This window comes from Homo sapiens, chromosome 4 (genome assembly GCF_000001405.40).
Source record: "Homo sapiens chromosome 4, GRCh38.p14 Primary Assembly".
NCBI classification, from domain to species: domain Eukaryota; kingdom Metazoa; phylum Chordata; class Mammalia; order Primates; family Hominidae; genus Homo; species Homo sapiens.
This window is the reverse complement of record NC_000004.12, coordinates 142,209,917-142,227,755: the sequence shown is the minus strand read 5'-3', so window position 1 is coordinate 142,227,755 and position 17,839 is coordinate 142,209,917. Positions and strand designations below refer to the sequence as shown.

General features: G+C 37.6%; 1 protein-coding gene across 64 annotated transcripts in view; it reads left to right on the top strand.

Moving 5' to 3' along the window:
- The window catches only part of INPP4B (inositol polyphosphate-4-phosphatase type II B), an 823,376-nt gene that overhangs the window by 618,780 nt on the left and 186,757 nt on the right, over positions 1-17,839 (top strand). The window lies entirely within an intron of this gene.

Below are 17,839 nucleotides of genomic sequence, written 5' to 3'. Positions count from 1 at the left end.
CTCCCAGCTAGCTGGGATTACAGGTGCCCACCACCATGCCCAGCTAATTTTTGTTTTAGTAGAGACAAGGTTTTGTCATGTTGGCCAGGCTGGTCTCAAACTCCCGACCTCAAGTGATCCACCTGCCTTGACCTCCCAAAGTGCTGGGATTACAGGTGTGAGTTACCATGCCTGGCCTAATTTTTTCAAATTTTTCATGAATACATGAAAATATATTGCATTCTATATCTGAGATGTAAAAAGCTGTAATAACTTTCATTAACTTAAAATTATCAATTATATTTTTAATGTTCTTTCTTCATCTCTTTTTTTGTTATTTATACTGTCAGAAGTTAAAAGGGCTATATGATAAAAATCGCGCAATGACAGCTTTATTATTAAATCCAGTGTGCACTCCTTACCCCTCATATTTTTGGCATCCCAGCAGCATTCACCTGCTTCTTGGAAACAATCTTCCATCAGATGCTGTGGCTGCGCATTCTCCTGGTAGTAAGATGACCTCCCTTGCTATGCCTTCTGTGTCTCCAGAGTAGACTCTTCTTTTTCTATCCATCCCTTACAGACTGGTGTTTCTTCATGCTTGGTTCTAAGTATCCCAGCTCTCCCACTCCATTTTCCCTTTGTAATCAGTTGCATCCACTGCCATGGAGTTCATCATTACCTACATGCTATTGTTTTCTAAATCCTCCAACTCTCACTTGTATTCTGTGCTCTAGATGCCACTACACAACCACCTGCCGAATGTTTCTGTTTGTTTGTCTTGCAGTTAGCTCCAACTCAACGTGTCTAAAGCTTAACTTATCTCTTTCCTTTCAAATTCATTCTTCCTCAATTAGTTCCTATCTCAGTTCATAATACTACCCTCTGCCTACCCAACAGTTCAGTGTAGGAGTGTAGAACATGTCCTTTTGTTTTTATTTAACTACATGTAACCACATTCTACTTTATCAATTTCTAATTCTAATTCCACAATTTAGCCCAAGCCCATTTAATTTTTATATCTGCTGTTCCCCATACTCATATTACACACTACATCGTTTCTTTCCTATAATAATGCAACCATCTACTAATGGTTTTTCTGTCTACAACTTTACTCTTTTCGTTAGAATTCATGATTCATGTTGCAGGCGCACAAAATCTGATTGAAAATGTTATAAAATGCATATTTACAGTAGGAGTTTTCTGGAGACAGCTTTGATATTCAACCTCTTAAGAATTATATTGGAATTATCTTTTAGGAAGGGAAGAGTAGGCAAATAATATTAGCTCTAAAGCACTGAATATAACATCTTCTTTTTGAGAAGTTTAATAAATTATTCCATAATCATGATATGTAAGGGACTAACTATCAAAAAACAACCTCTTTGATCTAGCATAATTGACAGATGGGAGAAATGGCAGCTGGTTTATTGTGGAGTAATTATGGGTGCAAGGAAGACAGCAACAGCAACAGTTTATGTTGAAAACAGCATAGAGATCCTATGTGTATTTAAGGTCTGTGTGTGTGTGTGTACTTATATGTGAGTGTGTTTGTTTGTATTCATAGTGCTTCAAACTTTATAGTCCTTCAAGCTTGGGTTGAGTGCAGACAAGTTATGTAGGTCTTGCCAAACTACCACCAGTAAAACTTTTACAGTATGTTTTAATGTTGCCATATATTTTGTTTATGTTGAGTATTTTCTTCAAATTTTGTACTATTTCAAAGGTTTGCTGTGCTCAGCCTACATTGAAATATGTTAGTTACTAGATAAAATGATGGGACATGTATAACTTAAACTCCATGACAGCTACAATGTTTTGTTATATCATGTGCACCTTTATATGTTCAGATGAGAGACTGTGGTAGCCACAAAATATTGGCTTTATCAAAAAATTATAAATTCCTAGGCCTAAAACAGTGTTAGAAAACCTATCATGAGCACAAAATGTTTTAAAGTAACACCTAGAAATATTTCAGTGGAAATGAACCTCATAACCAATAAAAGTTCCCAGGAGAAAATTAATTTGATCTATGTCATATTTTTTTTCTCTTTTTCTCCTGCCCCCTTTCATTCCTATATACAATTTTCATCATTAATTCAATAAATGGGAAGTGAGGTGGGAGGATCTTTCTAGCATATAATACAAGGACTTTAGAGGAAAGGATACAAATATTCCAAACAATGAACTTAAAGCCTTTCTTAAATTGTATAATATATATACATATTTATATATATACTTATACATATATATATATATTTGTGTGTATATTAGGGTTCTCTAGAGGGACAGAACTAATAGGAATATGTATATATGAAAGGGAGTTTATTAAGGAGAATCGACTCACATGATCACAAGTGAAGTCCCACAATAGGCTGTCTGCAAATTGAGGAGCAAGGAAGCCTTTAGTGGCTCAATCCCAGCCCCAAAACCTCAAAAGTAGGAGAGATAATAGTGCAGCCTTCAGCCTGTGGCCAAAGGCCAGAGAGCCCCTGGCAGACCACTGGTGTAAGTCCAAGAGTCAAAAGCCAAAGAAATTGAAGTCTGATGTTCGAGAGCAGGAAACATCCAGCATGGAAGAAAGATGAAGGCCGGAAGACTCAGAAACCCAGTAGCTTCTTCCACCTTCTTCTGCCTGCTTTTTCCAGCCACTTTGGCAGCCGATTGGATGGTGCCCACCCACATTATGGGTGGGTCTTCCTCTCTCAGCCCAGAGACTCAAATGTTAACTCTTCTGGTAACAGCCAGAAGCACCCAGATACACCCAGAAACAATACTTTGCATCCTTCAATCCAATCAAGTTGACACTTAATGTTAACCGTCACTTTAGTATAAAAAACACAGTCGAGTTTGGGACATATAAACTTTAAATATAACATTTTATGGGCCAGTTCTTTGAGAGAATACACGCGCCTTATCTTGGATATCACAGTTTGCAAATGTTGTATGTATACTAGATTCATGGTGATAAAATATTTTTTCAGTGATAAACATATACATTTTGTTTAGCACTAAATACTTCAGATATTCGGTATTCTATATTTTAGAGCTATATTTTAGAACAGTGATAAATATATCTATGTATGTATCTATATCCTAAATCTATATTTTTATCATTTCATATTATTATATATGAAGAAGATGGCCGATAAGAGTCTTTAAAATCCCAGCTTTGAAATCCTAGTTGCTGCACAAGGAAATATGTTAAAGAGACACATTCTCTGTGTTTACTTAAATGTTTTCATATAATGTAGAATTGGTTTTCTAAGCAGTAAAGCTATTCTGAGAGACAGAAGATATTTTATTTTCTGATTCTATATCTTAAAACATTTTGTGACTATAATTTAAATGATGGTTCATTTTATTTCAAAATGATAGCACTTCAAGAATACCTTTTAAAAATATTAAAAATATATATTAAAAACTCCAAATTAAATTCAGATTTATTTAGGTGAATTCTTTATCAAAAACATCTACATTATGCAAAACATAGTAGGATTATATTACATAGTGACCCAGACTCTCCATTTAGCATGATTTGACATTCTAAGATTTAACTTATGTATTTTGTCAAAATATATTTATCATCAGACAAGGGTTCCCCTTCACTTGGCCTACAAGGTAGGCATGATTTTATATCTAGCTATTTCTCCAGCCTCGCCTTGTGTCTTGATTTTTTTTGGCATGGCTGAAGCACGTGCATTTTGGGATGTCTGTTGGCATTTGAATACTTAGGTAAAACAAATGCACAGTGAAAATCTTTACTGACTTTAAAGAAACATTGATTAGTGGGAAAAGCAATAGGGAGCAGCTACTCTGTTTAATCTCATATATATCAAATAAACTTCGTAGATGTGTTTGTAGGTTTCTGTCTGTTTCTCTGTTTCTCTTTCTTGCTTGCTCTAAGAACAAAGAACGAAGGATCCAAAAAAAATATGCATTAAAGATATCACATCAGGGCTCTACCATTGACTCACACCTGATTAATATTATTTCTTCTGTTCATTCTTCTTTATGCAATGTTGATGCACAATTAGAATACCATGTGGTATGGTATTCATCATGTAAAGTATGTTTGCCCTACCAACTCCTAGTATTGAGGGCAGATGCTGTGTGTCATTAAGTTCATTGTTATGGATTCCTGGTATCACTTAATGAGAGGTCCTGTAGAGCACTTAGTGTCACCAAGCTGGTGATAGAAATACGTGTTTTATTCTCCTATTTGGATATTAAAATATCCCCACAGGAAAGAATAAGGCAAAACTCATTTAGAAGCACATTTTTTTCAATTGTGCCAAGATTTTTGTATTTCAAGTGAATGGAGGAGGGAAAAGTGTATGGAAATGACAAAAGTACAGAATGAGAATAAATATAAACCTCACTCAAAATATATATCTACTACTTGGCACATAGTTAAAATTTATAGAACACCATTTAATCTCTCAATTTCCTGATTTTTATTTTATTTTTTGATTATACCACTATCATTTGTCTGGCAGAGCTACTATAGTAATTGAGTGATCAAGAGAGTCTAGCACTTATGACTATAGTGTGTGTGTGAGTGTGTGTGTGTGTGTGTGTGTGCATGCACATATGTGTGGAACAGCCCTGGGTTTGAAACCTGGCTGCCCCAAAGCCACTTAATAGCTATATGACATGGCCCAATTTACCTAGCCGCTCTAATTTTCAGTTTCCTCAGCTGTAGAAAAGAGACTAACTACTATATGCACATGGTTATTGTGAGGTTTAAAATAAACTATTGATAAAAAAAATGTAGTTCACAGATTCATATGCCTTTAAAATGTGGAAACCATGCCTAACATTTATGTAAAGAACCATATACATGGTAAAACAATGTATCAGAGCTACTATGATAGTTCTTTTGCATTTCAGCTGAAAGTTGGTTCTGTCTCAGATACAAATCTTGAGTCTGTGATTTATTTTAGTGTCCTCTGGCTTAGAAACCTAGCACACTTCATAGGTATGCTGACTATACTATGCCACGAATTCTCAATGGACAGAAGAGCAGACAGGGCATGCCATCTGTCCAGAAAGCTGGTGTGTTTGGAGCTGAGACACTGATTTCGGAATAATACTCAGGCTTCAGATTAGTTAGGAGCTGCTGAGCAACATAAAAATAATTCCTCAGTTTTGTTATTTGTATTATTCTTGGAATTTAGCACAATACCTAACATATAATAAGCACTCAATAATATATTTTCCTTAAGAACAATTGAAATTGTTAGCACAGGGCAACATGATTACATTTAGAAAATGGGACAAAAGTGTAGAGGGAAAAACAAGTTAGGAGATACTATGGGTGCCTAGGCTTTTGATGATGGTGGCTTAGACCAGGGTAGTCATGTACATAAATTTCAGCTTTTGTAAGGAACTGAATCAACAGAACTTGGTGATGGATTACATTTAGAAGGTAAATGTCAAGGATGACTCAAGCATTCTGGCCTGCATAACTGAATAGATAAGTATAATTCATTGGTGTAAGAAATAGTGGGTAAGGGCTGGGCATGGTGGCTCATGCCTATAATCCCAGCACTTTGGGAGGCCTAAGCAGGTGAATCACCTGAGGCCAGGAGTTCAAGACCAGCTTGGCTAACATGGTGAAACCCTGTCTCTACTAAAACTACAAAAATTAGCTGGGTGTGGTGGCACCCACCTGTAATCCTGGCTACTTGGGAGGCTGAGCCAGGAGAATGGCTTGAGCCCAGGAGGCAGAAGTTGCAGTGAGGCAAGATCGTGCCATTGCACTCCAGCCTGGGTGACAGAGTGAGGCTCCATCTCAAAAAACAAAAATAAAAACAAGAACAGAAATAGTGGATAAGCACCAGGTTAAGAAGGAAAGGACCTCATTGACTTAGTTGAATCATCTAGAACTGAACTATCCCATACCATAGTCACTTGCCACATGTGGCTATTTAAACTTATTTTAATTTTTAAAAATTAAATACAATTAAACATTTAGTTTCTCAGTCACCTGCTTACATTGTAAGTACCGAACAGCTACATGTGGCTAGTACCTATCATACTAGGTAGCACAGATATAGAACATTTCCAACATCATGAAGAGTTCTACTGGTCAAGACTGATCTGGGGTAAATAGCTGCAGCATCTGTAATTTATTTAAAAAGAGCCATAGTAACATAAAAAAAAAACCTCCTTTCTTATGGCCCATTGGAGTTTAATGTGAAAAACGAAAAGGCTGGCATCATACTGTCTACTCAATCCTTGTGGGCAAGATAGAAATTTGGTGTTTGTTTTGTTTTGTGTTTTCCTCAGATTGGTAATGTCAAGATAGATGTTCTCTGCTAAGGTTTCTAGTGGGAGAGGGATTGTGTTATATTTCTTTTTTTTTTTTTTTTTTTTTTTTTTGAGAAGGAGTCTTGCTCTGTCACCCAGGCTGGAGTGCAGTGGTGCAGTCTTGGCTCACTACTCCCGGGTTCACACCATTCTCCTGCCTCAGTCTCCCGAATAGCTGGGACTACAGGTGCCTGCCACCAAGCCTGGCTAATTTTTTGTATTTTTTAGTAGAGACATGGTTTCACCATGTTAGCCAGCATGGTCTCGATCTCCTGACCTCGTGATCCACTCGCCTCGGCCTCCCAAAGTGCTGGGATTACAGGCGTGAACCACCGTGCCCAGCCGGATTGTGTTACATTTCTAATAGAGAGTCCACACAGCATAGCAGTTTAAAGCATGAGCTCTGTTTTGGGCTGAATCGTGCCTTGCCCCTGCCAAATTCACACGCTGAAGCCCTAGCCCCAGTACTACAGAATGTGACTATATTGGAGACAGGGTCTTTAAAGAGGTGATTAGCTTAAAGAGAGGCCATTAGGGTGGGCCCTAATCCAATCTGACTGATGTTCATATAGGAGGAAATGAGGGTACACAGGGAAACACCAGGGAGTATTTGTACTCAGAAGAAAGACATAGTGTGAATATAGTGAAGAGGCTGTCATGGGCAAGCCAACGAGAGGGGTTGCAGAAGAAACCAAACCTGCTAACACCTTGACCTTGGACTTGTAGCCCCTAGAACTCTGTGAAAATAAATTTCTGTTGTTTAAGCCACCAAGTCCATGATATTTTCTTATGGCAGTCTTAGCAAACTAAAACAGGCTCCAAAGCTAAACTGCCTGGACTTAATGTCATCTCTGCCACTCACTAGGTAGGTGACCAGGAGTGAATCGCTTAACTTCTCTGGTTAACTTCTCATTTCTAAAATGAGAATGATAATAATTGTGCCTATTTCAATGAATTGTTATGAATGGCAAATGAGTGAATATTTGTGAAGTGTTCAGAATAGTAGCAGACATAGAATAAGCACTATATAAGTAATTGTTAAATAACTAGAAAGTAAAATAAAAATTTTGTTATGTTGGTTGGCTTTCCAGCAGTTGCTATAGCCAAGACTGTCTGTCCAATGCATATTCAAAGAAAATATTTCAACCGGCTCTGTTGAGCCATATGAAAGTTACATTCAGATGAGTCCCTCAGGTGGGAGCCTCTAATCTTGTCCTTCTGTTCAGAGACACTTTCATAGGAGAAACTGTACTCCCCCAAGAATTTAAATAAAAAAGATAACAGGATTTGAATTCCTAGGAAGTGAGTACATGTCCTGAATCTACCATTTACTGGCAATGTGGCATCAACGAAGTCACTGTACTTCTCAGTCATTTGTGTAGAGTGATATTGTCCAAAAGAACATTCATTGATGATAGAAATGCTCTGTATTGTACCATCCTATAGGATAGTCATGTGGCTACTGAACATTTGAAATATACCTAGTACGATTGAATTTTTTATTTTGTTTGGTGCAGCTGTGGGGCAATGATCTCAGAAGATTGCTATGAAATCAAAGGAAGGGATCTTTTCTATGCAAAAGTAACCTTGATTATCAAAAGGGATAACACCTGGAAAATCTTATGGTGTCCACTAACCAAACAAATTTGACATAGAATATTCAATAGAGCCTGGTGTTTTCCTTCTACCTACGAAACTGGACAACATCCTCCGTCCAAGTCCAGGGTTAGAGGAATTTAAAGGGGTGGTATCCAGAAATGTTCTCTATTTCTGAAATTGTGGGCACAAATTATTAAAATGTGATGAGAATGCTAGCACTCTGTCTTGTTTAAACAGCTTTTAAGTACGTTTCATAACTTCCACGGCTACTTAGAATGAAAAGGCATGTAATGAACATATGTGGATTTGTGAGAAACCTTTGCACAATGCAACTACCACTGCTTTAGACAATAAGTGGAGCACTAAGCTTTAAAATACTAAAAAATAAATGCTGGCCATGTTTAATAACTTTAAAGCAAACTGTGAAGGGTAAACTGATGTTATTTAGAAGTAAATAAATACCAATTTAACTTTATCAACAAGAGCAAATAGATTCTTAGTCTGGAAAAAGACATACTTATTGTTCTTCATTTTTTTCTAATGCAGTTACCTAAAATTAAATTATAGAATCTGGCTGTTTATCAGATACAAACAGATTTTGTGATTGCAACTAAATCCTGTAATAACTGTGTTCCAACTGTCAGTCTTTGTATATAACTTGAGGCTTTATTGTGTATATAGTACAATAAGCAGTTATTTTAACTTCAAGTGAAAATCGGAGTGAATGACCACTTGGAATATTCAGTTGTTTTTCCCTGAAATAGTGGCTCATGGCTTGCAACATTAACCACATTGTCATTTATAAGAATGTATTTTAAAAAATAGGCCCGTGATTTATGGATGCAATTTTTATCCATGTGTGGGTTAAAGCACAGATATTTTGAATTGTAGGCTGAATATACTGTGAAACCTGACATCCAGTTGAACTTTGCTCAGTTTTATGGTGTCACCCAACCACTTTATGAAATTGAAGCCACCTACCAGTCATTTATGTAGTCTATTCTTCACTGACTATTTAGTATTTAATTTTTGTCCTAGTGAATAAATTTTTTATGACTTCTTTTAAGTTTGATTTAAGGTCTAATTTTGTTTAATGAATGAAAGCATCTTGGCTGTTAAACTTTCTACCCATGCATACCATGTGTAGTTTTACTGTGTAATAACTACCAAAAGGCTTTATTTAAGTTCTACAGCTATTTTTATTTTTTAAAATGGTATTATAGAGCTCATTGTGGAAAAATATTTCTATTTACTTAAATTATAACAGTCTCAAATAACACTTTTATATCTCTCATACTGGGCTATATCCTTTGCTGTATACATTTTTATCAAGCTATTTTGTCTTACGACTTTTCCGTAAATGAATTATCTATTATTTTCAGATACTCATTATTACAATAATTACCTTCCATAATTTCTGACATTTTTGAATTTATATACCCAGATTTTTAAAGTTTACCAATTTTGGTTCTCACTTCCAATATCATAGGTGCTTGCACACAGAATGTTGGCCTCAGAACTAAAGAGATTTCTTGTGCATGTCCCTTAGACAAGTCGAACATCACTATAGTTGTTTTTCTTTTGAACAAGTCAGGAGAGTATTTGTAAAATGTGGTAGGAGGGATAAAAGCCCATGGAAGAGCCTAAACTATATTCTAGATGATTTTCTTCCATCTCCCTCCCACCATCACCAACTGGCCTGTCTCTCAGCTGTTTATGCACTAAGCAGAGAGAAATCAGTGTGATGGAATCCCAGCATAGTTAGTGTATGGGTCAGGGTTCCAAAGAGAAACAGAATAGAACACACACACACACACACACACACAATTTATTAGAAAGAATTGGTTTACATCATTATGCAAGCTGACAAGTCCCAAGATTTGCAGGGTGAGTAGGCTAGCTGGAGACCCATTAGAGCCAATGGTGTAGTTCCAGTCGAGTGTGTCAGTCTGAGTCCAAAGGCAGGAAAAAAGCAAAGTCTCAGTTTGAAGGCAGTCAGGCAGGAGATTCCTCTCTTACTTGGGGGAAGTGTCAGTCTCTTATTCTATTCAGGCCTCCACCTGATTGAATTAGGCCGACCCAAATTAGAGAGGGCAGTGGGCCTTATTGAGGCTACCGATTCAAATGTTAATCTCCCTCAAAAATCTCCTCATGGAAACACTCAGTATACCGTTGACCAAATATCTGGGCACCCTGTGGTCCAACCAAGTTGATATGTACAATTAACCATCACAATAGGAAATGCCATATGAAGATAAATTTTTCAAATCTTTATCCCTAAGGAAGACTTGCTTAATCTAGGATTACAGACCTACATCATGCAAGGGTAGAAGACCGAACCATGTCTCATTTCTCCATTGAAACTTGGCAGAGCTTAGCACTATACTCTAGGGTTAGTCTATATTTTGACTTTATCCTAAATTTTAGGAAAATATAAGAACAACAATCTGCAAGCAAACTTCATTTATTCAGTCAACAAGCCCATCTCAGATACTTCCCATGGGTAGGAGACTGCGGTTGGACAAAAAGATGAATAAAGCTAGTCTCTGCCACTCACAGACTCAAAGCACATTTGCCCCATGTTGGAAATCCCTCCTTGAATATATCATCAGTGGGCTTTAATGCTATGTTTTAAATAGAAGCTTTAAATAGAGCTACAATTTTCTATTTTGGTGATCTTAAGCCTTCTGTTTCTTCTTTTTTTGTTTTTGTTTTTTTGCCCCAGTAACGTTTATTTTCCAAACAGAATTGTACACAGAATTCCAATGTAAATTAAAGGGATATAATTGGAGCTACTGGGTGGGTACAGTAAAGGAAAGAACCTGAGGCCTATTCATTTACTCGCCCTAATTTGTCCAACACTTTCTGGGTCCCTATACCTACAACAACCCCAGGGGTATAAGGAATAAAGTTTAAAAAATACTTATCTGTTTAATATTCCGGCCAATATTTTACACATTATATGTAACAAAATTAAAGCACATTTGGTTACTTTTCTCCCAGTTCTTCTATGATTCACTCTGTACTTAATTATTTCTCTTTATTCTTCACAGGGTTGTTTTGTTTTGGTTTTTAATCTCATTTTCTCTTCATGTTTTTAAATAGCTTGTGTTTTAAACATGTCATATAATTAGTAGGGTGTTCTACATTGTGGAAGGTTCGGAGTATATAATGACTTCCAGGAACTTGCAATTTTACTGAAAATAAAAAGCATGTGTTTTTGAAATATTTAAACACAGTAAGACAAAACGATCCATATAGACAAAAAGTACTTCATAAGGTTATTTCCAGAGATCTGTATGAATATTTCATCAAGTATCAAGAATGTGATACTTTGCTGTTGGAATGCCAGGATCTATAGAGCACTAGATGTTTCCTGAATAGACATTAGCAATTATATGTCTCCTTTGGAGATTTGTTTTGTATAATTTGCCTTTTATTTTTGTAGTCAGGAAAGGGAAATGGAGCAGATGGAAGTAAGTCCCAAAAAGTGTTTAATGTGTAAGAGGCCTAAGCTTATTAATATTTTATTATTGAGTCTTTTCTCCCTAACTTCTTGCATCAACTTGTTGGACTCTTGGAGAACTGGGAGAAGCTAGAGACAGGTTAGAAGATTTGTTTTGGAGATAGAACTCTAGTGAGAGTAAAGCAATGAATTCATGAGATTGTATGTGTTTAGCAAGGGGGTGGATTTTCCAGGAAGAATTATTTTGTTGTTGCAAAGTAGTGATTGAAAGAGAGAACATTTGAAAGTAGAAGCTGTTGTGACTGTGAGTAAAATGAGAATGTTTACAGATAGGAGTATTCTAAAACCTATTTTATATGAATTTAAAAAAGCATTTATGTAGCTAATCTCCTTTGCTACCCATGCCAAAGGCTTTGTAATGGTATGCAACTATTTAATTACAACATTAGTGTCAGATTCCTTCTTTTTTTTTTTTTTTTTTTTTTTTTTTTTTTTTTTTTTTTTGAGACAGAGTCTTGGTCTGTTGCCCAGGCTGGAGTGTAGTGGCACAATCTCAGCTCACTGCAAGCTCCGCCTCCTGGGTTCACACCATTCTCCCGCCTCAGCCTCCCGAGTAGCTGGGACTACAGGCGCCCACCACCACACCTGGCTAATTTTTTGTATTTTTAGTAGAGACGAGGATTCACCATGTTAGCCAGGATGGTCTCAATCTCCTGACCTCGTGATCTGCCCGCCTCGGCCTCCCAAAGTGCAGGTTGCTTCTTATATCAATGAAGCAACATGCAGAGACTGGACCACAGGGTGCTGTTATCTTTGGGTCTTATAATGCTGGACACCATTATGCTCTTGAATATGTTTTAGAAAATTTCAGTTATCCTGTAGTAACTGGTAGGCATGCCATTCAAACTAAAATATCCAGGAGTTAAAAATCCCAAATAATAATTTATCTTTTGTTCAGGTTTAGTTTTTAAAGCACGTGAACGTTTACAAATGTAATTCTGTAAATCAACTGCCCAGGTTCCAAATCCCACTCACAACCTACATTCATTAAGTACACTCTGTTTGTTTGCTGTTTGTTTTTATTTTTGTTGCTGTTTGTCTTGTGTTTCTTTGTTGTGCAGTAGAGAATAATATGAGGTAAGGGAACAGTGGGTTTGGGGATTACAGTCTAAAAGCTTTATGGTATTCTAGTGACTCTGAGATAAACAAGCAGTTTTTACCTTAGCTTCTCCATCTGTGAAACAAGAGGTTTCAGGTTATTCTCTGAGCTTCCTTCCAACCGTAGCATCCTGGGAGTTTATGAATCTTATATGAACTCTGATATCCTATAACTTAGACAATCTAGTATAAATTTTTTGAGAATAAAAGTAGGTATTAATAATTACAGTGGAATAACAGGTGTAAACTGGCATATCTGGTTGCTACACCTCTAACATATTGTGGTACGATGACAAATAATGAGGAAAATAAGTAATATAACACATATGTGTACATACACAATAAAGGTCTTTTTTCATCTATACAAATAAACAATTAATGTGCTGGGTCGGGCGCAGTGGCTCACGCCTGCAATCCCAGCACTTTGGGAGGCTGAGACGGGTGGATCACCTGAGGTCAGGAGTTCGAGTCCAGCCTGACTAACACGGTGAAACCCCATCTCTACTAAAAATACGAAGATTAGCCAGGCGTGATGGCAGGCGCCTGTAGTCCCAGCTACATGGTAGGCTGAGGCAGGAGAATCACTGGAACCAGGGAGGTGGAGGTTGCAGTGAGCTGAGATCACACCACCGTATTTCAGCCTGGGCGGCAGAGCGAGACTCCATCTCAAAAAAGAAAAAAGAATTGACGTGCTTTGAACTATATTTATGATTCACCTATCATTAAGACCTTTTGTCTAGTGCTTAACCAGCCGCTAATCAACCCCTTTATAAATGTATGTTAAAACATTGAGTTAAACAGCAGAATGTGACAAGTGGGGCCCGTTCAAGAAGGACATCTCAGAAGATCCAGACTGTATTACAAATCCTGGGGTTACCAAGGAGAGCCAATGGGGCTGAAAGTGTCTGTGGTGAGAAACAACTCTGCTATGTGGAATCTTTAGGAAAAGCAAATAGGAAAGTGTCAGTACAGACCTTTAGAGTTCTAGAATGTACTAGTGCTTCCTGCCTCAGGTAGCCACTTCTCATTTGAAAAATAGCTCCTGTTGTAATACTGGGCTTTAGTAGAGACTGAACCCTTGATGATGGGACACAAAGGGACTCTGTGACTAGAGCTGCCCATTGAGAACTTGGTATTGATTTACCCCACTGTATGGCATAGAAATAATGTATTGTTACATAAGAGTGATAAATTTGGAACATTGGATCCATTGGCTCCATACATTTGGGCTCAAGCAGATCCACAATGTATGACCATATATCATGAAGAGGTGTCCCAGAGTCTTCTATCATCTGTCCTACTGCACCGATGGTTCTTTCTCAACTCGCACCCTCGAGAGTTCCCTGTGACTCACTCACGGAGGAGGAAAGAACTTGCACTGGTATAAAAATGGGTCAGCCTGACATGTTGGGTGGACTTCAAGGTCAATAATGAAGGAAATACCCAGTGGGAAGATCAGCAAACCGTTTACTTGGTATTCGCTTCATGTAGAGAAGGAGGTAACCTGAGGTGCATATGTATGTTAAGCATTGGCAGAGCTAATAATCTGATGGGCCTGAAAGAAGTAAGACTAGAAAATAAAATACAAGGAATACGAGCAAGAGACATGTGAATGGGGTTGTAGGAGTGAGCACAATCAAAATCACGCCTATCAGACATAAAATACTGCAGAGGAAGCTTTCTACTACCAGGTGGACATTGTCACGTGTCCAGTGGATATTAGCCAGCCTCCTTTCTCAGTTACTCCAGGGTTTGTGCAATAGACCCATGAAGAGAATGATCTATTGTGGTTGGACCTAGATCTTAGTGACAGAGGCAGGGAATATGCATGGACCCAGGACATGGCCTCCCTTTCCAAAGCTAATATAGCTATTGTCACTTCTAACTATTAAATGCCAGAAACAGACTGACAATGAGCCACTGAGATGGTACCATTCCTCCGGGGTACGATAGAGACCCAACACCTGTTGGGTGGCAGGCAAATTAAGTTGCATCCTCTCCACTTTGGAGTGGGCAGCAATTTGTCCTAAGTGGGTGAATTATGGTCTAGATATGTGTTTGCATTTCCTCTCACAGTGCCTTCACTGGCATCCACATCCGATAGCCTAAGAATGCCTAATCCAATGATATGGTGCCCCACATAATATTGCTTCTACTAAGGGACATTTGCTGCTGTATCAAAGAAGGCACAACAGTGAGCTTATAGTCATAATGTGTTTCAGCACACAACAGCCATAGGCCTGATGGTACAGTGGAATAATATTAATCATGAAAAGTTCAGCCAAAACACCAGCATGAGGAAAAACCTTAGAATTGAGGTACTGCCTTCTAGGATTGGGAAATATGCCAAACCAATCACTGATGTAGGATGCTATATTTATCATACCCAGGACTCAACAGTTCTGGGACTAAGGGTAGGCCCTTCCTATAATCAGTAGCAGTGATCCACTTGTGGTATTTGCACTACCTTTCCCTACAACCTTATACTTTGCCAGTTAGAATCCTGGTTCTTGTGGTGGAGTCAGGGGAGCAGTGCTGTTCTGTCAGGGGACACAATTAGAATCCCACTTAAGTGGAAGCTGTGATTGGTTCTATCTGTGATCTGGTTACTGTGTGTTCCTCATGACAATAGACCAAAAAAGATGGTGTGAGATATCCATGCTCACCACCATGAGGAGATAGGGCTACTGCCACAAAATCTGAGCAAGGAAAAATACGTCTGAAACTTAGAAGTACTCCACGCCCTGATGGGAAGGAGAAATTGCAGCAAGCAAGACTCCATAGAAGCAAGAAAACTAAGGGCTTAATTCATCAGGATTTAGGTCTGCAACACCCAGCAGCAACTCAGACCAGCTGAAATGCTGGTAGAGTATGGCGGAAAATCTGGGATTAATGGTAAAGGAGATAGGTGATGAATATCAATTAAGGCCTCAGGGACTAGTTGGAGGATTGCATATTGTGGCTGGATTTATTACTGCTCTTTTAAATCTCTGGGGAATCGCACATTGCCATCACTCTAAAGGACTGTACTTAAACTCTCCTCTTGGGAAAGATGTGAGGGATCTTGTTTTGTATGCTATCGGGTTATCAACTCAGATGGTACAAGTACATCTGAGTTGTACACGGGGTTGTCTGTCCTGGGCCCAGTTTGTGTGCTTTTCTACATTGGCTAAATCCTAATCCTAAGGATTAAATCCTTATAATCCTAACATGTCTTCACATTTTTGACCACTTGCTCAATGGTGAGCCTCAGGTATTGCCACCACTGTCACCTTATCTCTTAACACCATTAACTATATCAGCCTCTCTCAAGGTGAAGACCAGGCATTAGCATATCCCCAGTAGCAACTGCCATGGAAGGATTCACAGTAGTTTTGGCAACTGTGAGATAGGGACACACCCAGGAAAGTTCTATCTCCATTAGAGTATTGTTTCTCCAGTGGCTACACAAAGGGGCAGATTATAAAATCATAAAGGCAGAGGACTTAATAACCTGTAGGATGACTCTTTATCGATGAAACATAGAGTATGGCAAGCAACTGACATATAAATGTCCCTCTGACTAACTATTCCAAGGTACAAAGTTTCCAGATGACTTCTTTAGATTTGTTTCACATGACCAAATAACCAGCTATGTTTTCTTGTGAAGTTCTCCCCAGCTCAGTCATGTACCACCTTGTGGCTGCTTTCTTCTCTTCCCTGTATCACTTATTTTTTTACTTCCTTGTGGTTGTCCTAGCATTGCTTGATCTCAGGCTGTGCTCCTAGAGAATCTGAATTGAGATGCCAAGGAAAGGTTTTAATCTAGGAGGTTTTTTGACCATTGAGTGACAAATGAAAATGTCATTATGAATAAATAGCCCTAGGCTTCCTGATTGGAAAGTTTACCAATTTTCATGAACCAAGTTATCTTCTATCCTCATCTATTTTAATGTATGAATGTACCTCTTCTTTACTTTAATGAAATTAATGTGCTTATTAATTTCTTTCCTTTTTAAAAAATGCAGTGACTCTCTTACTCTGCCCCATTTTGTTTTGCAATGTTTTCATTACTGTGTCTGGTTTATTACACTTTTATCATATAGTTCCCCTATATTGGAACTTTTCTCAATGTGGAGAGACAGTATGATAGTTGTTTGTCCTTTTCAGAATGCGTACCTTTTTTACTGTCATCTCTTAGAACAAACAGGTTCATCAGTATACTTCTCTGTATAAATTGTGGCATAATGGAAGAGTGCAATACATTTTAAACAAAAGTTATGGAGTCCTCACAGCTTGTATCAAGATACTCCTCACAGAATACTAAACTTTTCTGATTACATTTTGCCAAACTTATCTTAGGCAAGGAAATGTACACCACCCCCAGTATCCCAGAATGTGGTCAGGGGCTTCACTATCACTCTTCTACCTTCCTCGTCATCCCCCCTTTACTTATTCTTTCTGATAATAATTTAGAGATAATATAAATTGTAACTGTATGGTGCATCTATTAGTACTAAATAAAAATTGTTAGCTAATATTTTCATTATAACTGTATACTGAAAGCAAAGCTGAAACTTTGCATATTAAGTTGATATATTATACTTGCTGTATATCTCAGATTCAACCTAATTGCTCAGATTCTTCTAGACTTGGATATATCAATCTTTTGGAATTACTTGTTTGCTTTAGTGGTTGTTGCTTTTTTCCTGAACTTGTACATCCTGCCATTTGAGTGCAAACAGAATTCAACTCCCCAATCTTCTACCTTCTCTTTGTCTCTCTTTTGGTCATGATTTTTTTTTCTTTACTCTATTATTTATTGATTAATTACTTTTTCTCCCATGAGTGTTTCATCATGAATACTAATCTTTGGAAAAGTTGAGAGTGAGATGAATGTTCACAAAAATTATAAAGACCTCAGATGAAAATTGCAGCAGTTCTAAATTGCAATCCCATTGGAACAAAACAAAGACAGCTACAACCATTTGAAAGCAAGTCACATTTTTGCACACCATCCATTATTCTTGCATTTAACAGAATGTTAAAGATTCTACAGCTCGTGAATTTATTAGCTTGGTATTTAGCATGTTTCATGGCCAAAATAGCAAAGAAGCTTCATTATTACTGGTTAAATTAGCCTCATGAAAATGTTGTTGGTAAAAGGTTACAGAAATGAATAAGAGATCTAACCAAGCAGCATATTGGACCATTTATCACTATAGTTTTAAAAAGGCATTCTGATGATTTAAATTAACTTGGCTAAAGGGTAGAGATTTAGATAAAAGTTAATAATTGAAGCCTAAATGACATGGTTAGCTCTTCTTTTTGATAAAGAGGGAG